The sequence below is a fragment of the Homo sapiens genome, chromosome 14, assembly GCF_000001405.40.
Source record: "Homo sapiens chromosome 14, GRCh38.p14 Primary Assembly".
Classification (NCBI taxonomy): Eukaryota; Metazoa; Chordata; class Mammalia; order Primates; family Hominidae; genus Homo; species Homo sapiens.
Window position 1 is genome coordinate 93,135,196 of NC_000014.9, and position 22,497 is coordinate 93,157,692.

General features: G+C 48.0%; 1 pseudogene, besides 1 other annotated feature; it reads left to right on the plus strand.

Annotated features, from left to right (window-relative positions):
• CYB5AP3 (cytochrome b5 type A pseudogene 3) lies at nt 2,812–3,782 on the plus strand (annotated as a pseudogene).
• Nucleotides 2,869–3,368: an enhancer, noted in NCBI's record as "H3K4me1 hESC enhancer chr14:93604409-93604908 (GRCh37/hg19 assembly coordinates)". NCBI's record gives its function as "activates a minimal SCP1, AML or CMV promoter by ChIP-STARR-seq in primed H9 embryonic stem cells {active_cell/tissue: H9 hESC(primed)}" and the evidence as "EXISTENCE:reporter gene assay evidence [ECO:0000049][PMID:30033119]".
• Nucleotides 3,783–22,497: the final 18,715 nt, after the last annotated feature.

The window sequence follows — 22,497 nt, forward strand, 5'->3', positions numbered from 1 at the left end:
AACTTTTTAAATTTTTTGTAGAGACAAGGTCTCGCCATGTTGCCCAGGTTGGTCTCAAACTCTTGGGCTCAAACGTTCCTCCCACCTCAGCCTCCCAAAGTACTGGGATTACAGGTGTGCACCACCACGCCTAGCCTATTTTTTAAAAATAGTCACTTTTTATGGGGGATTACAGTTTAACTGGGCCTTCTGTATTTTATCTGGCAACACTACCCATGAAGAGCACTGTCCAACTTTGAAGCCACCTCAATGTGAATGTGACTTTTATCTGCACCTGTAGTCTGTTTCTCCTCTTCTCCTGGGAGCGGGACTACTCATGTTGATTGGGTGCCAAGGGTACCAACCCGATGCCATATTAGGAAAGCCGGGCATGACCTCCAGGAGCTGGTTTGTTTGTTTTGTTGGGTAAAGATTTTGCCTGCTTACATTAGTGGGTAAAGGTTTGTTTTCTTTTGAGAGAGCCAGAAATATCCAGGCAGGCCTGGCCCCAGCAGGGTTGGTGGAATAGATCACAGCAGCTTCCTCCATGTCGTGCCTAGGAAAGCCCGCAAAGGATTTTTAAGGTCTAGTGGGAAGAGGAGGGAAAGGCATCTTGGTCTTTTGTGTGTGTGTATGTGGAGGGGGCATAGGTTATATGCAAATAGCATCTTCATGTTGGAAAGCCTGGCTTGAAGCTTCTGGACAACTTTCCTGACATGCCTCTACTCACCCCAGCACTCTCTCCACCATGGCCCCCCATTCTGTATCCATACCCCTGGCTTACAGAAAGTTCTTCCTCCCTTTGTGCCTAGCCTTCGATTCCCTCAGGGTGGCATCAGATCTTTTTATCTTCTAACCTAAGACGGAGGCCGCCCTGAGGAGTGTTAACATTGCCCTCCATCCCTGTCTCTGGCTGTTGTTCAGGAGTGCCGGGTCATGTCAGGACACGTGGAAAACCGGCGAACTTTCCTCCCTTGGAAGGTCCTTCTCACCCACCCACCCGCTGGTCCTCTCTCTTCAGGCCGGAACAGTCCCCTGTCCCTCCAGTGGAAGCCCCTCCCCCATGTGGATGTTGTCCTCAGGGCCTTCTCCAGGACATCCTGGGCATGCCTGGCCCCCTGGCTGGCTCAGAGCAGAGCTGAATTCCCTCCTGAGGAGGTATACAGCAGTCCATGCAGCCTTGGGTCCAGTTTGTCTTTTTGGCTGGTTCTTCCTTTTTTTTTTTTTTTTTTGAGACAGAGTCTTGCTCTGTCACCCAGGCTAGAGTGCAGTGGCACAATCTCAGCTCACTGCAACCTCCACCTCCTGGGTTAAAGAGATCCTCCCACCTCAGCCTCCTGAGAAGTTGGGATTACAGGCATGCACCACCATGCCCCGTTAATTTTTGTATTTTTAGTAGAGATGGGGCTTCACCATGTTGGCCAGGCTGGTCTCAAACTCCTGACCTCAGGTGATCCACCCGCCTTGGCCTCCCAAAGTGCTGGAATTACAGGCGTGAGCCACTGTGCCCAGCCTTGGCCGGTTCTTCCTTATTCACTTGGTCGATGAGGAAGCTAGGAAGCTGAGGTTAAGGGGCCGCCCGAAGTCACACAGCCAGCCAGTGGCCGACTTAATACCTTGAACCCAGGTCTTCTGGCTCCTAGACTAGACTTCTCTCGACTGTAACACACTGATCTGCCTAAAGTGCGTCCAGAGGGGTATATAGCCCGGTGGTTCTGCGCATGGACAGCGAGGGCCTGGTATTCAAAACCCAGGCCTTGCGCTCAGTGGGTGTGACATTGATAAAGTTGCCCAGCCTCTCTATTGAGCCTCAGTTTCCTTATTTGTCAAGTGAGGATAATGACAGTGCCTAACCGAAGGGAGTTCCTGGAGGATCAAATGAGAGGACGCTTATGCAGTACTGGTGCAGTGCCTGGCTGGCAGGAACCATTGTCAGAGTAAAATCGAACCAATGTGAGCCCAGGCACGGTGGCTCACACCTGTACTCTCAGCACTTTGGGAGTCTGAGGCGGGCAGATCACTTGAGGTCAGGAGTTTGAGGCCAACCTCGCCAACATGGTAAACACCCTGTCTCTGCTAAAAATACAAAAATTAGCCAGGCATGGTGGTGCACACCTGTAATCCCAGCTACCTGAGAGGCTGAGGAAGGAGAATTGCTTGAACCTGGGAGGTGGAGGTTGCAGTGAGCCGAGATCATGGTGGGACAACAGAGTGAGACTCCATCTCAAAAAAACAAAATAAAACAAAAACACAATGTGAGCAAAGAAAGAGATTCAAAAATCTCTATGTTGTCCAAAATTGGGAGTTGGATTTAAAAGTGACTGAAGGTAGGTCACTTTGAGTAATCTCAGCTACTCAGGAGGCTGAGGCAGGAGAATCACTTGAACCCAGGAGGCAGAGGTTGCAGTGAGCCGAGATCGCACCATTGCACTCCAGCCTGGGCGACAGAGCAAGACTCCATCTCAAAAAAGAAAAAGAACTGATTCCGAACACTCTTTAACGTAGAGTTCTAAGGATGGAAACTAGGGAGGGCTTGGATACCACTCATTTATCCACTCCCCCTTGGCGAGCCCAGTCATTGCCAGGCACTGTTGTTGGCATTGGGGGTACACCAGCGGAAGAAACAAAACCTTGGCCAGGCACAGTGGCTCACGCCTGTAATCCTGAGACTTTGGGAGGCCGAGGCAGGAGGGTCACTGGGGCCCGGGAGTTCAAGACCAACCTGGGAACATAGTAAGACCCTGTTTCTAAAATATATATATACATATGTGCTTCTACGTCGCCCCGCCCCTGAGCCGGCCGCCCAGCCCCTGGTGTGGTGCCTGGCGAGGGGAATGTCCCAGGTGGAGCTGGCGGAGTCACAAGCTCTACTCCACCCGACGAGGCTGTGTGTGCTGGGCCTGGCTCGCAGCCAACCGAGACGGCCGAGCAGCTGGACGAGGCCGTGAAGTACTACACCCTAGAGGAGATTCAGAAGCACAACGACAGCAAGAGCACCTGACTGATTCTGCACCACAAGTGTACTATTTGACCAAATTTCTGGAAGAGCATTCTGGTGGGGAAGAAGTCTTAAGGGAACAAGCTGGAGGTGACGCTACTGAGAATTTTGAGGATGTCGGGCATCTTTGAGATGCCATGGAATTGTCCAAAACATATATCATTCAGGAGCCCCATCCAGACGACAGACCAAAGTTAAACAAGCTTCGGAAACTCTTATCACTGCTGTTGATTCTAGCTCCAGTTGGTGGACCAACTGAGTGATCCCTGCCATGTCAGCAGTGGCCGTCGCCTATCAAGGCACACATGGCAGAAGGCTGAACCTCCTCAGAAGCCAGTGCAGGAAAATCCTGCTTTAGACACAGGCAAAAAGAAGCCAATGCTAATTACTCCAACTGACAGAAAACTTCTCTTGAAAAAAATAATTTTAACATATCTCTTTTTCTTTCTGCCTACATTAGAAATAAAACAAAAAGAACTGTCTTTTCTGCTCTCGGATTTTTCGAGTGTGCCTTTTATTCATCTACTTTATTTTGATGTTTCTTTACTACGTAATTTACTGATTGTAAGCATGATCTTTTACAAATATATCCGGCTTTTAAAATACAAAAATATAGGCTGGGCGCCGTGGCTCATGCCTATAATCCCAGCACTTTGGGAGGCTGAAGGGGTTGGATCACAAGGTCAGGAGTTCGAAACCAACCTGGCCAATATGGTGAAACCCCGTGTCCACTAAAAACACAAAAAGAAATTAGCCTAGCGTGGTGACACATGCCTGTAATCCCAGCTACTTGGGAGGCTGAGGCAGAAGAATCGCTTGAACCCGGGAGTCAGAGGTTGCAGTGAGCCGAGATGGCACCACTGCACTCCAGCCTGGGTGACAAGCAAGACTCCGTCTCACCAAAAAAAAAAAAAAAAGTATATGTATATATATATATATACACACACACACACACACACACACAAATATATAAACACACATACACACATACACACACACATCATTTTTAAACAGAAAGAAACAAAGCCTTGCCCTCCTGCAGCCCACACTCTAGTCGTGGAAACAAGCCATACACAAACAAAAAATGCAGACTGCAATCTCACGTGGTCAGTGATGGGTGAGGAGAAACAGAATAAAACGAGGGCCTAGATATGGTTCTCGCCCAGGGTGGCAGCGCCGCCTAGTGTACATTTTTTAAATTTCTATAGGTTTTTTTCTAGTTGTCCCATTGACTGGGGGCACAGCAGGCACTCAGCTGGCTGGAGTCAGACAAGCCAGACATGCTGCGATGCACAAGATAGTTGGAGAGGTGAGGAGATGAAAACTGATCTCCTCACGTGACTTTAGAATGTCTCAGCAGACATCCATGCATGTGAAAATTCTGTTTGTAAGTATTTGAGCCTAGAACCTCACTTGGTTTTTGTTTTTTTGGTTTTTTGGTTTTTTTTGAGACAGTCTCGCTGTCTCCCAGACTGGAGTGCAGTGGCGCGATCTCGGCTCACTGCAAGCTCCGCCTCCCTGGTTCACGCCATTCTCCTGCCTCAGCCTCCCGGGTAGCTGGGACTACAGGCGCCCGCCACCACGCCTGGCTACTTTTTTGTATTTTTAGTAGAGACGGGGTTTCACCATGCTAGCCAGGATGGTCTCGATTTCCTGACCTCATGATCCACCCACCCTGGCCTCCCAAAGTGCTGGGATTACAGGCGTGAGCCACCGCGCCCTGCCCCTCACTTGGTTTTATAATCAAGCACGAAGTATTTTGTACACAGATTTATCACTCAGTGAATTTCCAGGAATTCAAGAACTTTGTATATGGAGGGAAGGCTGTACTTCGTTTTGTTTGGGACTCCACCGAGAGTTTTTTATTGTTTTAGGAAATCACGTCTCTGCCGATTTCAAGTCAACATCTCACAATCTCTATCAGTCTACGCATATTTGCAGATAGCCACCAGGGCATTCATTTACTGAAGTTATGTATTCAATTATTAAAAGTTAATTTCCGCCAGGCGCAGTGGCTCATGTCTGTAATCCCAGCACTTCGGGAGGCCAAGGCGGGCAGATTGCCTGAGGTCAGGAGTTTGAGAACAGCCTGGCCAACATGGCGAAACCCTGTCTCTACTAAAAATACAAAACTTAGCCGGGTGTAGTGGCGCATGCCTGTAATTCCAGCTATTCAGGAGGCTGAGGCAGAATTGCTTGAACCTGGGAGGCAGAGGTTGCAGTGAGCTGAAATCATGCCACTGCACTCCAGCCTGGACAACAGAGTGAGATTCCATCTCAAAAAAAAAAAAAAAAAGTTAATTTCCTGACTGGGCTCAGTGGCTCATGCCTGTAATCCCAGCACTTTGGGAGGCCGAGGCAGGTGGATCACCTGAGGTCAGGCGTTGGAGACCAGCCTGACCAATATGGTGAAACCCCATCTCTACTAAAAATACAAAAATTAGCTGGGCGTGGTGGCATGTGTCTGTAGTCCCAGCTATTCGGGAGGCTGAGACAGGAGAATTGCTTGAACCGGGGAGGTGGAAGTTGCAGTGAGCTGAGATCATGCCACTGCACTCCAGCCTGCGCAACAGAGCAAGACTCTGTCTCAAATAAATAAATAAATAAAATTTTAAAACTTAATTTCCTTTTCTTTCTTCCATAAATTACACTACATCCTATTGATTTTTTAAAGTGTATGCTTAGGTAGATTTTATTGCCTGTGAATTTATTTCATGCTTTTAAAGGGGAGGGCACATTACTATGTGTTATAAAAAGGGCGTATTTGATCTCACCGGTGGTGGGCTGAGAACCAGGGGAGTGGAAAGGGGTCGAGCAGGTCAGAGGTCAGGGCAGATGTGCCAATGAGCAGAGGCAAATGGAGGAAGGCATGAGCCATGAGCATGTCTGGGAAAGGCTTCTGGAAAAAGGGAACAGTGAGTGTCAGCTCATCTCCTGCAGGGAAAGAGGGAAGCACCATAAGGCCTTGTCAACTGTGGCCAGACCAGGAACTCTCTTCCCATCTCCTTGGTCAGTGCTGAGGATTCAGTGTTGAACTAGCAGGACAGGTGTGTCCCAGGGTCAGGACCAAGCAGGGAGAAACATCATCTGATTTCCTTTTTTTGAAACAGAGTCTCGCTCTGTCGCCCTGGCTGGAGTGCCGTGGCGCAATCACAGCTCACTGCAGCCTCGATCTCCTGGGTTCAAGCAATTCTCCCACCTCAGCCTCCTGAGTAGCTGGAATCACAGGCAGTTGTCACCATGCCTGGCTAATTTTATTTTTTTGGCAAAGATGAAGTCTCGCTGTGCTGCCCAGGTAGATCTCAAACTCCCGGGCTCAACCGATCCTCCCACCTTGGCCTCCCAAAGTGCTGGAATTACAGGTGTGAGCCACCATACCCGGCCCTTGATTTCCTTTTTTGTTTATTTTTTTATTTTTTGAGACAGAGTTTTGCTCTTGCCCAGGCTGGAGTACAATGGCGCCATCTGGGCTCACCGCAACCTCCACCTCCTGGGTTCATGCAATTCTTCTGCCTCAGCCTCTGGAGGAGCTGGGATGATGCCTGGATACCTTTTTGTATTTTTAGTAGAGACCGGGTTTCACCATGTTGGCCAGGCTGGTCTCAAACTCCTGACCTTGGGTGATCCACCCACCTTGGCCTCCCAAAGTGCTGGGATTACAGGTGTGAGCCACTACACCCGGCCCATTTCTTTTTTTTTTTTTTCTTTTTTGTGACAGAGTCTTGCTGTGTTGCTCAGGCTGGAGTGCAGTGGCACAATCTCAGCTCACCACAACCTCTGCCTCCCGGGTTCAAGCGATTCTCCTGCCTCAGCCTCCTGAGTAGCTGGGACTACAGGTGTGCACCACCATACCCAGCTAATTTTTATATTTTTAGTAGACACGGAGTTTCACTATGTTGGCCAGGCTGGTCTTGAACTCCTGACCTGGTGATCCACCTGCCTCGGCCTCCCAAAGTCCTGGGATTACAGGTGTGAGCCACTGAGCCTGGACCAATTTCCTTTTTTTCTTTTTAAAAAACAAAACAAAACAAAAAAACCTCACCACAGCTGCCTGATGGAGAATGCCTGGGAGATTACTGCAGGAGTCCAGCCATATTGTGACTTAGATCAGGGCAGAAGAGACGGTTGGATTTGTGATATATTTTCAAGGTCAGACCCACAGAATTTGCTGACAGAAGTGTGATTAAAAAAAAAAAATGCATGGTGGCACATACCTATAGTCCCAGCTACTTGAAAGACTGAGGCAGGAGGATGGCCTGAGCCCAGGACCTTGAGACTAGCTTGGACAACACAGTAAGACCCCCATCTCTTTAAAAAATAATTAAATTTAATAAGACTCCATCTCTTTAAAAAATAATTAAATTTAGTAAGACCCCCATCTCTTTAAAAAATAATTAAATTTGGTAAGACCCTCATCTCTTTAAAAAAAAATTAAATTTTAAAGTTAAAAAAAATTTTTAAAAAAATACTGCAGTCAAGCACCTACCCCTCCAGGAAAAGATGGTAGAGGGAGACAGCTGGCTAACCCACAGGGGATATTCAGGTTTCCAGTTAGAAGGTTATATTGAGAAAGGTTTCACATTTTGAAAACACAACAGATCTCTAAAAACACAAAAGATGAAAGGTTTTTTGAAAACTTACTAGTATATTTTTAAGTTGGGAGGTAGGTTTGAGGGGCAGGGGAACTGTTGTTATTGTTATGTTTTTTGAATTACATATATGTGACATATTTTCTCTTGTATGTGTTAAATATTACATAATAATACCTTTTGAAAAAGCTTGGCACTGACATCATTTGTGAACCTGGGGCTTTATTTCCTGGACAAAGCCAGAACTAGCCAGAGCATGGGCAGCCTCAGACAGGCAGCGGGAGGTCAAAGGAGCACCGCAGTGGGGAACAGGGCAGTAGCGCTGGACTTGGAGAATTCCCAAATTAATGTTTGCCCTGTGACCTCGGGCAGGTTCCTCCACTTCTCTAGACTCAGTATCCTCATCTAGAAAACAGGGACAATAATAGTGCCTCCTCCTACTAGTGCTGTGAGGACTCAGAAGAGGTAACAGGCCGGGCACGGTGGCTTACACCTGGAATCCCAGCAATTTGGGAGGCAGAGGCAGGAGGATTGGTTGAGCCCAGGAGTTCGAGACCAGCCTGGACAACATGGCAAAACCCTATCTCTTCTAAAAATATTAAAATTAGCTGGGCATGGTGGTACGTGCCTGTAGTCCCAGCTACTCGGGAGGCTGAGGCGGGAGAATCCCTTGAACGCAGGAGTTCAAGGCTGTGGGATTACACCATTGCACTCCAGCCTGAGCGACATAGTGAGACCTTGTCTCTATGTTAAATAAACAAAATTAGCCAGGCATGGTGGTGCACACCTGTGGTATCAACTACTAGAGGGGCTAAAGGGGGAGGATCACTTGAGCCCAGGGATTCAAGACTAGCCTGAGTAACATGGTGAAACTCCGTCTCCACAAAAAATACAAAAATTAATCAGGTGTGGTGGCACACACCTGTGGTCCCAGCCACTTGGGAGGCTGGGGTGGGGGAATCACTTGAGCCTGAGTGGCTGAGGCTGCAATGAACCATGATCATGCCACTGCACTCCAGCCTGGGTGACAGAGTGAGACCCTGTCTCAAAAAAAAAAAAAAAAGAGAGATCATATACACAAAACCTCTCACACAATGCCTGGCACATCGAGTCATGCTAACACAAGGTGATAGACGTTGCTTTAGTCATTGCAGTGGTACTTGAGGATAGAGTTAAAAGAAGGGGGTTGCCAGGCACGGTGGCTCAAACCTGTAATCCCAACACTTTGGGAGGCTGAGGCGGGTGGATCACCTGAGGTCAGGAGTTCGAGACCTTCCTGGCCAACATGGTGAAACTCCGTCTCTACTAAAAAGACAAAAATTAGCCAGGCATGGTGGGGGTGCCTGTAGTCCCAGCTACTCTGGAGGCTGAGGCAGGAGAATCACTTGAACCCAGGAGGCAGAGGTTGCAGTGAGCTGAGATCATGCCATTGCACTCCAGCCTGGGCGACAAGAGCAAGACTCTGTCTCAAACAAAACAAAACAAAAAGAAGGGGGTTGGTTGGTTGCTCTCGAAGAGCAGCTACCTTAGCATCAGGCACCCTAGAAGCGGTTGGACGCCCACCCTGGGGGTGTTGGAGAAGCTTCAGGTTTCGTACCTTCAGCCTTCTTCAAAGGTGTACGGCAGTTCAGCCCCTTCCATTACCTTCTTTCTACAGGCAGGACACAAATTCAATATTCCATCCTCCCCGAGGCCCCATGTTTTCTCCAGGAGGTCGGTTCATGTTGCACCTATAAGCAGGCTAAATGGGAAGCCATATTGTAAGGAGGAGGCTATTTGATGGGCAAGGGGAGCAGAGGGGTTGAGACTATTTCATTTAAAAATTGTTTGAGACAGCGTCCCGCTCTGTGACCCAGACTGGAGTGCAGTGGCGCGATTATGGCTTATGCACCCTCGACCTCCCAGTCTCAAGTGATCCTCCCACCTCAGCCTCCTGAGTAGCTGGGACCACAGGTACATGCTATCAGGCCCAGCTAATTTTTTTATTTTTTGTAGAGATGGGTCTCACTTTGTTGCCCAGGCTGGTCTCAAATTCCTGGGCTCAAGCGATCCTTCCGCCTAGGCCTTCCACAGTGCTGGGATTATAGGCGTGAACCATGGTGCCCGGCCAGATTGATACTATTTTAACTTGCGACTTTGGTCTCTTTCCCTTTCCCCTGGTCACGTCTGAGGACTCGGCCAGCTTATCTGGGGAGTCAGGCAGGAGGAAGAGACCTGTGTGGGCAGAGGATGGGTTCATACAGGGGACTGAGCAAACATGGTCCTCAAATTCTTCTGCAGCCTCAAACTCCTGGGCTCAAGAGATCCTCCCACCTCAGCCTCCCAAGTAGCTGGTACTACAGGCGTGTGCCACCATGCCTGGCAATAAAGTATGTTTTGACGGGCGAGAAAACTAAATCTCAGAAAGACAAAGTGACTTGCTCACAGTTATAAGCCATAAGGGATGGAGCAAGAATGGGAACCTAGATCTCTGAGACCCCAAAGTACAGGTTCTTCCCCTGGTACCATATTTGAGGTGCTCCTCTTCCTTCGCCCAAGGCACTTCCCCACACCCTGAGCCCCCTCATCCCACGGATGCTGGGAATATACTGGCCATGGTGACTCCTCCTCCCCCACTTCTGCGTGTGCCAGGCCTATCTTTGGTTGGAATCTTCGTCCCTTACCAATGCTAATGCCATCCTCAATGGCACCTTTGTGCTTAGACAGCTGGGCTGTGGCTGTAGCTACACTGTGATCTCTTTTTTTTTTTTTTTTTTTTTTGAGACAGAGTCTCGTTCTATCACCCAGGCTGGAGTCCAGTGGCGTGATCTCGGCTCACCGCAACCTCCACCTCCTGGGTTCAAGCAATTCTCCTGCCTCAGCCTCCTGAGTAGCTGGGATTACAGGCATGCACCACCATGCTCAGCTAATTTTTGTATTTTTAGTAGAGATGATGGGGTTTCACCATGTTGGCCAGGCTGGTCTCGAACTCCTGACCTCAAGTGATCCGCCCACCTCGGCCCCCGAAAGTGCTGGGATTACAGGCGTGAACCACTGCGCCCGGCCACCATGAGCTCATGATTAGAAATTAGATGTTGGTACACACCTCAATCACACCTCAGTCATCCTTGTACTCATAACTAACACAATAATAGGTGCTTCCCCTGAGAAGCTCCAGTGTAGTAAAGGACTTGAAAATCAACATAAATTTGAAAATGCTAAATCCTGAGATAGAAGCATGCTTGGGGTAGAGTGGGACACACAGGATGCAGGAAAGACTTCTGAGTAAAGAAGATATTTGGTCCATGAATATCTTGAAACAACATGCATATGATTTTGTGTCTGTGTGTTTCTTGCGCGAGAAAGTCCATGATCTTTATCAGATTCTGCAAACGATCGACAGCTCATTAAGCAGAGTCTGGGCCAGAGATTGAGAAGGCTAAGGGGCCAGGGCATGGAGATGGGGTAGCATGAAAGAGTCTGGACGTACAAGAAGGACAAGGGCCACCACTCGGAGGAGCACGGACGTCACTCTTAGGGCAATAGACAGTTATTGCCTAGGTGGGTCTCGGTTTTACTCATGGCCTGTGTCATGTAACCCTCAGAGTTCTGGTAAGTCTCATCATATCTAAGGGACACAATGAATAGCCGAGAACAAGCTTCCTACAAACATCAGGGGAGGCCTCTCACAGGCAATCTACTGGGTCTCAAAGCATGAAGAGGAATTTGCCCGGCAAATGTTTTAATCAGAAAGACTCTAAGCTGTAAGTTACAGAAATTCCTCAGAATGGCCTTAAATCCTGTGGCATGCCTGTAAATGTTTAATAACCAGCTCTTAAGGAGGGATACCTGATTGGTAGTAATTACCAATTTCTGTGGTGTAAATACTGCCCCCATGGCCTCTTTCTTTCTTTCTTTCCTTCCTTCCTTCCTTCCTTCCTTCCTTCCTTCCTTCCTTCCTTCCTTCCTTCCTTCCTTCCTTCCTTCCTTCCTTCTTTCTTTCTTTCTTTCTTTCTTTCTTTCTTTCTTTCTTTCTTTCTTTCTTTCTTTCTTTCTTTCTTTCTTTTCTTTTTCTATTGAGACAGAGTCTGGCTCTGTCACCCAGGCTGAAGTGCAGTGGTGCGATCTCGGCTCACTGCAACCTCTGCCTTCTGAGTTCAAGTGTTTCTCCTGCCTCAGCCTCCTGAGTAGCTGGGATTACAGGCACCCACCACCATGCCCAGCTAATTTTTGTATTTTTAGTAGAGACGGGGTTTCGCCATGTTGGCCAGGCTGGTCTCTAACTCCTGACCTCAGGTGATCCACCCACCTCCCGAAGTGCTGGGATTACAGGTGTGAGCCACCGTGCCCAGTCCCCCCCATGGCCAATTTCAAGCTACCAATGTGAGGTCACTGAAGAAGTATGCCCAATTGGCTCACATGGGCATGGTGAGTGGCTCTAGCACACCACCACTTCAATCCCATTGACTGTAAGAATCTTGGTCTCAGCCAGGCATGGTGGCTCACACCTGTAATCCCAAAACTTTGGGAGGTCGAGGCGGAAGGATTGCCTGAGCCCAGGAGTTGGAGACCAGCCTGGGCAACATAGTGAAATCACTGTCTCTACAAAATTTTTTAAAAAATTAGCCAGGTGTGGTGGCACGTGCCTGTAGTCCCAGCTACTCAGGAGGCTGAGGTGGGAGGATCACTTGAGCCTGGGAGGTGGAGATTGCAGTGAGGTATGATCATGCCACTATACTCTAGCCCGGGTGACAGAGTGAGACCCTATCTCGAAAAAAAAAAAAAAAACCAAAAAACAAAAACGAAGAATCTTGGTTTCATAGGGACCAAGACTAGAGATGCTGCTGGGATCTCAGGACTGGACTGGAAGCAGGAACTGGTGTGTTTCAGTAGCCCTAGGCCACCCTTCTCTCTCTCTTTATTCGCATTCCTATGGGGTCATTCTGTCTCCTGTTCTGGCAGATTGACTTTCTCTGCTCCCCAGTCCACAGAACAAAGAATTGCTATTGCTAACACTATCCAGGTTTTCATGTCCCTCCTGAGAAAAAAGAAGCCAGACCAAAGCTTGGCCTCTTTTAGTCCCAACTTCAAACTCCCTAAGAAGGAGCCCATTGGTGCCTCCTGGTAAGTGTCCAACCAGCTGTGACTAGAGGGCTGGATGTTATTCCAATTTGGCGACCAAGACCTTGGGTTCTATAACCATAGGGTGTGGGGGCGGGGAAGTGGGAAGTAGTAATCAGAGAAAAAAGAAGCGAGATCTGAGTAACCAACTCATTAGGGATCTGGCCTGCAGAAAATGGGGGAAATTAATAATATAATATTTCACAGTATCTACTCTAGTCTTTTGAACTATCCATCCAGGTAGTCACTAATTCATTCATTTATATTCATTCAAGAATGCATTCAGCCTTAATTTGACATTTTTTTAAAACTTTTTTTTTTGAGACAGGGTCTCACTTTGTCACTCAGGCTGGAGTGCAGTGGCATGAGCATAGCTCAGAGCAGCCTCAATCTCAACCTCCTGGGCTCAAGCGATCCTCCTGCCTCAGCCTCCTGTGTAGCTGGGACCACAGACACACGCTACTATGCTCCGCTAATTTTTTAATCTTTTGTGGAGATAAGGTCTCACTTTGTTGCCCAGGCTGGTCTCAAACTCCTCAACTCAAGCGATCCTCCCACCTCGGCCTCCCAAAGTGCTGGGATTATAGGTGTGAGCCACTGCACCCAGCCTATTTTGACATTTATTAAATATATATTCTATATTAGAAATTTTGGCCCAGGCGTGGTGGCTTACGCCTGTAATTCCAGCACTTTGGAAGACCGAGGCGGGCGGATCACCTGAGGTCAGGAGTTCGAGACCAGACTGACCAACATGGAGAAATCCTGTCTCTACTAAAAATAAAAAATTAGCCGGGCGTGATGGCACATGCCTGTAATCCCAGCTACTCGGGTGACTGAGGCAGGAGAATCGCTTGAACCTGGGAGGAGGAGGTTGCGGTGAGCCGAGATCACGCCATTGCACTCCAGCCAGAGTGAGACTCTGTCTTAAAAAAAAAAAAAAGAAAAAGAAAGAAATTCTAGGGGCTAAAAACGAAAGGAAAGATGAACAAGATTTAGTCGCTGCCCTCAAAGAGTTTGCAATCTGGAAATAAGGCAAAGCATCAATAATACAACATGGAAAAAGTTTTGCAGGAAGTAGGTAGATAGGGCTGATCCCCAGAGGACTCAACGGGGAGCTGTGGAAGGCAGCCTCCAAGATGGCCCCAGGGATCCTTATCTTCTGTGTTGGTCCTTTCTCCCATACCACACCCTGTTTGCAATTCCTGGGCCTCATCTGCTCCCTATTCCTGGTACCACTGCTCCTGACGCTTGAAAAATGCATACCTGGAGATCAAGGTCGGTGTCCACCCCCCACAGCGATTGGGTCCAAGGAGAACACATGTCCCTCTATGGACCAATCAGAGTCTGCGAGGCAGAGCCCAGGACTTAGGCTGAAACTATGGGAAAGGAACATCATTTGCACTTAGGAAAAAGCCGGAGCTGCTGGTGGCAAACTGCTTCCGTGGAGGGAGAGGCTGCCTAATGTGGAGGAAAGCAAAGCCCAGAGGTGGGCAGAGGGGCCTCCTCACGCATCGCTTCAGCACTGTGCTTCGTACACGGAAGTTTCTACTTAACGCCAGCCAGAGTTGGTAACTTGGCTTGGGTTCCCAGAAACCTTGAGGTAAAGGCCTGTTTGATCCTACTCTATAAGTGAGGGCCATCGCAGAGAGCACCGAGGAGAGACCATGGGAGAGAGGAGAGAAGGAACCATAGTGGCTATGAGGCTCCTCCTCTTGAAAGTCCATTGAGGATGAAAAGGGCCAGAATGTATCCACTTTCCCCATCTCCCATCAGTCAAAGGTTTGCTTCATGGCGCATTAACTCCCCGCCACCCTCACCCCGGCAGGTTGCCGGCTAATTCCTTTGCAGGGACTGCTGGCAGCCCTGGAACTGACAGGCAGGAATTAAACAAGTAACTGCAAGGTGGTGAGGGTTTTGAAGAAATAGCACAGGGTGGCCAGAAGCACTGGCTCATGCCTGTAATCCCAGCACTTTGGGAGGCCAAGGGTGGCAGATCATTTAAGGTCAGAAGTTCGAGACCTGCCCTGGCCAACAAGGTAAAACCCTGTCTCTACTAAAAATACAAAAATTAACCGGGCATGGTGGTGCGCCAACAAGGTGAAACCCCATCTCTACTAAAAAATATAAAAACTTAGCCGGGCGTGGTGGTGCATGCCTGTAGTTCCAGCTACTTGGGAGGCTGAGGCAGGAGAATCGCTTGAACCCGGGAGACGGAGGTTGCAGTGAGCTGAGATGGTGCCACTGCACTCCAGCAAGGCAGATCACAGTAAGCCAAAGTGAGACTGAAAAAAAGAAAAGAAAGAAAGAAGGAGGGAAGGAAGGAGAGAGAGAGAGAAAGAAAGAAAAAGAGAGAAAGAAAGCGAGTACAGGGTATTCTGGGCACAGGTCAGGAAAGGCCTTCTAAAGAGGTGGCAAGTCCAGATGCTAACCCAAAGGAAGAGTAGACATCAGCCAGGCCAAGGGGTGCAGACAGGGAAGAGCCATCGGGAAGTGAAAACCACACATGGGAACCCTTGAGGCCAGAAAGAGCACGTGTGTTTGCGGAACTAAAAGAAGGCGGGCATTGCAGCAGCATTCAGAGCAAGGCAGATCACAGTGAGCATTTATAGAGCACCAAGTATATACACACGGACGTAGCCACTTATTGTTTGAGCTGCCCTGCCCCTTCTCCCTTTTTTTCTGGGAACTGTGCCTTCTTCCTTCCTGCCCGGGCACATGGTTACCATAGGAACAGCCCTCTGGCCGTTGAATGGACTAGAGGTGAACACCTCACTGAGGCGGAACAATCAGAGCCTAGGCCTGAGGAGACTGGGGAGGTCGGGGCCCAGACGGTGATTGAGGCTGTCAATGCAGGGCTGGGCAAGTTGCACGTTAACTCAGGATATGTTGGCAGCCAGGTTTTCAGTGGACCAGGAAGCAATGAAAGACACTTCTGCAGAGGTGTTAATGAGGCAGGCAGGGAGATGAGGAAATGTGAGAGAGCCTGGTACCCAGTCATCCTAGACGTGGCTGCATCCCTGCCCTGGAGCTGCTTGAAACAAAGCTCGCTTGTTGCTTAAACTGCATCCAGTGGGTTTCTGTCAGTTTCCTAACAAAACAAGTCCTAACTCATACCTTACCAAGTGCTAGGGCTTTATAGATGCATAAATACGGCAGGGTCTCTGCCCTGAAGAAGGTTATAAACCAATGGGAAGACAGACATGTACACTAAACATTAACTACAGGGTGATAAGTGCTATAATAAAAGTTTGTCCAAAGTAGGGAGGTTGTGCAGAGATAAGATAACAAATGTAAAAGGATTTCGAAAAGAAAAATGTGTTATGTAAGTCCCCTAGAATTATGCTTATGCAATTCAATTGATTTCTACTTTCAATTTAATCGAGAACACAGCTACTTCACTTTCAGAATTACGCTGTTTTATAAGGTAGTGCTGGCCTGTAATCTGGCAATGGGTAAATTATCCAGGGTCTCATGCTTTTATTTCGTCATTTGTGTTTGGCGAGTGGATAGATAAATAACCTTGCAGTTTCCCAGAGAATCAGGAAACATTTGACAGTTTGCCCTTGCAGCCTGTGTTGCAATTTTCGTTTTTGTTTTTGTTTTTCCCTGAAACAGAGTCTCACGCTGTCGCCCAGGCTGGGGTGCAGTGGCACAATCTTGGCTCACTACAACCTCCGCCTCCTGGGTTCAAGCGATTCTCATGTCTCAGCCTCCCAAATAGCTGGGATTACAAGCATGCACCATCATGCCTGGCTAATTTTTGTATTTTTAGTAGAGATGGGGTTTTGCCATGTTGGCCAGGCTGGTCTCGAACTCCTGTCCTCAAGTGATCTGCCTGCCTCAGCCTTTCGAAGTGGTGGGATTACAGGCGTGAGCCACCGCGCCTGGCCCCTGTGTTGCAATTTCCTGCCCTGCCTGCATCAACCTCTCCTTGACTCCATGAAATGAAACGTCTGCTGACGCACTAAAATAAAATCTTGCAAGTGAATCACTGATTGAGTTTGCTGATTGACATACATACCATTGCCATGTTAACCACATGATGGTAACATTATGTCTGGAGAGAAGGTGTGACCGTTTCCACCTATACAATCTTCAAAATCATCCCATTCAAGGGTGCTTCCTAATGTTCGAATAATTTATGAAAGAATAATGATATCTTATTGAGAAATACCTTCCCTGTACCCTCATCACAGGGAGACACCTGTTTATTCCTGTTGGGTTTTTTTTTTCTTTTTTTTTTTTTTAGATTTAGAGAGGGTCTTGTTCTGTTACACAGGCTGGAGTGTAGTGGTATAATCACAGCTCACTGCAACCTCAACCTCCTGGACCCAAGTGATCCTCCCATCTCAGCCTCCCAAGTAGCTGGGACTACAGGCAGGCACCACCACTTCCAGCTCCTTTTTTCTTGTAGAGATGGGGTCTCGCTATGTTGCCCAGACTGGTCTCCAACTCCTGGCTTGGAGTGATCCTCCCACCCCAGCCTCCCAAAGTGCTGTAATTACAGGCATGAGCCACGGTGCTTGACCCTCCTGCCAAGTTTTTGATGGTGGAAATGACAACACAGGGTGTGCTTTGGTGTCAAGATGACCTAGGTTCAAATCCCAGTTGTACTGATGGCCAGCTGTGTGGTCTTGGGCAACTTAACCTACCAGAGCTTCAGTCTCCTCATCTGTTGAAGAAAAAAAAAAAAACACTTGACAAAGGATGAGTGGTAGGTGGAGAAGATGATGGAATCAGGTAGCGCTCCAAGGGTTAGATGGGAGAAGGTGAGGCTGGGCGTGGTGGCTCATGCCTGCAATCCCAGCACTTTGGGAGGCCGAGGCGGGCGGATCACCTGAGGTCAGGAGTTCGAGACCAGCCTGGCCAACATGGCGAAACCCCACCTCTACTAAAAATACAAAACTTAGGGGGTCATGGTGGCGCACGCTGGTGATCCCAGCTACTCGGGAGGCTGAAGCAGGAGAATCGCTTAAACCCGGGAGGCAAAGGTTGCCGTGAGCCAAGATCTTGCCACGCTACTCTAGCCTGGGCAACAGAGCAAGACTCCGTCTCAAAAAAAAAATTGAGAAGATGAGTAAGCATAAAAAAGTTGTTAGTTTCTTCTCCTGTATCCTGGAGTCCCAGATTATATGGGAAAGGCTGGGAGGGCAGTACTTCCTTTCCAGCCGAGGTCATCTCCTAGGGATCAGAATCTGATCGAGTCAATTACATTTCATGAGAATGGCAGGTTTCTGAAGACTTTATCATTTACAACTCAAAAACTCAGGAATAATTTCTCATAAGAATAACTCTACAGTTGGGGGCATGATCCTTAGAACACAAATTCTACTGCCATTGTAGTATTGTTTTGCTTTCGTTGAGCCTTTGCTCTCTGCATCACTGCTAGTATTTTGCAAAATGCTCACACATAAATTACAACAAGTGCTCTCACAGGGATCGGAGCACTTCCTCGCAGCACTTTGTCTCAGCTAACCATTCTGCAGAAGTGATTACAACACTGATGATGCGCTTGTTAGCTGGAGCATGTCCGGGACCACTCAATGAAGCTCCACATGCCTGAGTCCCAGCACACCTGGACGCTGCTGTTCCCAGTGGCTGACTTGGGATAGGATGTATATTTCTGTTTACCTGCTAGAGTGGTACCACCCCGTGGGACCATCATAAACAGTGTACAATTCAGAGTTCCACCAATTTTGAAATGAAGGGATTCTTTTTTTCTTCTTCTTTTTTTTTTTTTTTTTGAGATGGAGTCTCACTCTTGTCACCCAGGCTGGAGTGCAATGGTGCCATTGTGGCTCACTGCGACCTCTGCTTCGCAGGTTCAAGCGATTCTCCTGCCTCAGCCTCCCAAGTAGCTGAGACTACAGGTGTGCACCACCATGCCTGGCTAATATTTGTATTTTTAGTAGAGACAGGGTTTCACCATTTTGGCCAGGCTGGTCTCGAACTCCTGACCTCAAGTGATCTGCCCACCTAGGCCTCCCAAAGTGCTGGGATTACAGGCATGAGTCACTGTGCCTAGCCAAGGAAAGGAAATTTATACCTCAAAAAAGAAGTGGAGTGCCACTGAGTTATGCTTTCTAGAAAAAAAAAAGTGAAGGCCGGGTGCAGTGGCTCACACCTGTAATCCCAGCACTTTGGGAGACCGAGGCAGGCGGATCACAATGTCGAGACCATCCTGGCCAACATGGTGAAACCCCATCTCTACTAAAAATACAAAAATTAGCTGGGCGTGGTGGTGCTCACCTCTAGTCCCAGCTACTTGGGAGGCTGAGGCAGAAGAATCGCTTGAACCCAGAAGGCGGAGGCAGCAGTGAGTTGAGATTGTGCTACTGCAAAATTTGCTGGGATTACAGTCGTGAGCCACCATGCCCGGCCTCATTTTAGCCTTTTTAAAGAAGTTTGCAGCTCATGCTTCAAGGAGGAGCAGTGGAAAGGCAATCATACAGGCCGGGTGTGGTGGCTCACTCCTGTAATCCCAACACTTTGGGAGGCTGAGGCGGGAGGATCACTTGAGCCCATGAGTTCCAGACCAGCCTGAGCAACATACCAGGACCCAATCTTTACTTTAAAAAAAAAAAAAAAAAAAAAAAAAAAGGAATGCTGGGTGTGGTGGCGCACGCCTGTAGTCCCAGCACTTTGGGAGGCCGGTGCGGGTGGATCACCTGAGGTCGGGAGTTCGAGACCAGCCTGACCAACATGGTGAAACCCCGTCTCTCTTAAATACATAAAATTAGCCAGGTGTGGTGGCACATGCCTGTAATCCCAGCTACTTGGGAGGCTGAGGCAGGAGAATCACTTGAATCCAGGAGGTGGAGGTTGCAGTGAGCTGAGATCGTGCCACTGCACTCTAGCCTGGGCAACAGAGTGAGACTCCATCTCAAAAATAATAATAAAATAAACAAAAAATAAATTTAAAAATGTTTTTAAAAAAGGAGCCAGGTGTGGTGGTGCACACCTGTAGTTCCAGCTACCCAGGACACTAAGATGGGAGGAACACTTGAGCCCAGGAGTTCAAGGCTGCAGTAAGCCAAGATTGTGCCCCTGCACTCCAGCCTAGGCAACAGAGCGAGACTCCATCTCAAAAATAAATAAAAACTTTTTTAAAAAAGAAAGGCAATCGTACATCTTATGGGGTTTGCTTCCAGAAGGAGCCCCACTCTGGCCAGGTTTGCCCCAGGCTTCCTAAAGGAGGCCCACTTCCTCACATATAAATGAGGGGCCTACACTTGTCCTTGGAAACTCACCCCCAATTTCTTTCATCAACTAGGGTCTTCCCAAGCTGCTTCTGCAGCTCAGCAGTGGGTACTTCCAAGGCCCGTGCACATGGCCCCTGAGCAATCTCTCTTTTCATCCTAATTCCCCTCCCCAGGTAACTCAGGGTGGTGCTTTTTCAAGTGGGATCAGCAGCCATATTCCTGGGGATTTATAAGCTGTGCCAGAAGTTTTGAATGTTGTGTTTTCATTTTTGGGTTATCTGGGTTACTACCCCAGAACTCTTGTGCCTTGCACGGTTTTGGGTTTTTTTGTTTGTTTGTTTGTTTGTTTTGAGACCTATTCTTCCTTTGTTGCCCAGGCTGGATTGCAGTGGCATGATCTCGGGTCACTGCCACCTTTGCCTCCTGGATTCAAGCAATCCTTCCGCCTCAGCCTCCTAAGTAGCTGGGATTACAGGCACGCTCCCAGCTAATTTTGGTATTTTTAGTAGAGACGGGGTTTCACCATGTTAGCCAGGCTGATCTCAAACTCCTCACTTCAAGTTCGAGCCTCCCAAAGTGCCTCAGCCTCCCAAAGTGCTGGGATTACAGGCATGAGCCACTGCACCCAGCCTGCAGGATTTTATTTTATTTTATTTTATTTTATTTTATTTTATTTTATTTTATTTTATTTTATCCTTCCCATGAGTGCTCAGGATTTTAAAACCTGCTTTTCCATTTGGGTTAAGATCCTGTTCGCGGCACATGAGTCAGTGTGCAGTATCACTAAAGGCAAACATTTCACCAGAGTTCAAATGCAAAAAAATGGCAAGAGAGTTGTGTGGTCCTGTGAGATGAATTTTGCAACTTCCACCTTCTTCCCATCCAAACTACAATCTGCATTAGCAGTCAGTGTGTTAGTAAATAAACAGTAAAGAAATTTCATTTAATATTTTCTGTATTATATTTTGGGAGTATATGATTAAATTGATTGGCTCATTAAAATAACGGATAGGTGGTTGAAAGAGTTTATTGTTCACATCCAGAAAAAAAATCAATAGTGATTATGTCAGTGACTCAAATAAAGATCCATTATCGAAAAAAAAACAAAAAACTGAGAAAAATCAAGTTGAAAATACATCTTTCTTCCATTAAACCACACATCAGTGATTCGCTTCGATTCCATTTCAGTAAAACATCATCCATCCATCAGGTTGATTTAATGTTGTTAACTTTAGTTCATGAGTTTTTGTTTGTATTTTTAAGTTTATTCTAGTTTAAAAAGCTGAGGCAGAATGGGAGCTTTTTTTTTTTTTTTTTTTTTGAGACAGAGTCTCACTTTGTCGCCCAGGCTGGAGTACAGTGATGTGATCTCAGTTCACTGCAACCTCTGCCTCCCAGGTGCCTCAGCCTTGCGAGTAGCTGGGGCTACATGTGCACACTACCACATCTGGCTAACTTTTTGTATTTTTAGTAGAGATGGTGTTTCACCATGTTGGCCAGGTTGGTCTCGAACTCCTGGGCTCAAGTGATCCACCTACTTCAGACTTCCAAAGTGCTGGCATTACAGGTGTGAGTCATTGCACCTGGCCAGAATATGAACTTTTAAAATATGGAAGTTTAAGTTTTATTTTTCTTCCTTCTCTTCACTGCCTTGGTGTAGGATTCAACCTGATCCGGGAAGGGAATCCCCCACACCCTCGCTGCCTCCCATCCCAATCACACACTGGTGTAAATAGTTCCTTTCCTTTCCAGTAGCATGTGAAGAATTAGTCCCTCCAGCCCTAGGGGAAGGGAAACCAGTTTCCAATGGGCAATGACTTAGCAGTCAGTTTTATTGGGCCATCAGGATCTCCCAGGAAAGAAAGGAGAGTCAGGCCTTTGTGTGAAGCGAGGAAGAGGGGAAGAGGGAGGGACTTTGAGAGGCACTGTTGAGAGCCACATCAGCTTCCAGAGACCCTGGGAGCAGCTCCTGTTGGTCTGCACACAGGATGGAGTCAGGTTTTCACCAGGGACTGCCTAGCTGGGGTAACAGCCAGCCACGCCACAAGACTGTCCTGTCCCATCTGGCTCCAAAGTGTGGACTCTTCTTTGAAATACTCCAGGACCCCTGAGAGCCCCGAGGCTATGTCTGGTTAGCCAGTGGTGGGGACAGGAGGAGGCCCCTTGCACTCCCGCAAGCTGGGATGATATGCTCAATCTGGAGGCCCCCAGTCTGGGACAGTGACTGGGGAGGACCCCGTCAGGAAAACCATGAGTAGTGTGTGATGGAGCAGGGTGTGAGGTGCTAAGGGAATCTGGAGGCCGGGACTGTCTGCTGTTGCTAAGAAAGCGAGGACAGGGGTGTGAGCATCAGGGAGGCTGCCCCTTCTCTATTCCTCCTGCCAGTCTCTTTCTCTAGATGGGCTGACCACGCCAGAAAGCCAGCAGGCCAAGTAGTCTGGAATGCGGTTTTCAGAGTCCCAGCCCCAGAGCAAGTGGACAGGTGAACTTGGGGATGACAGACACTAGGTCAGTGACCACCTGGCTACTCCAATTCTGGCTGATTGAAGCTGAAAAGCAATGTACCAAAGGCTACTGGGCATCTCACAGAACTAGTTTAAGAACCCAGATCAGAGGCTGGGCGCAGTGG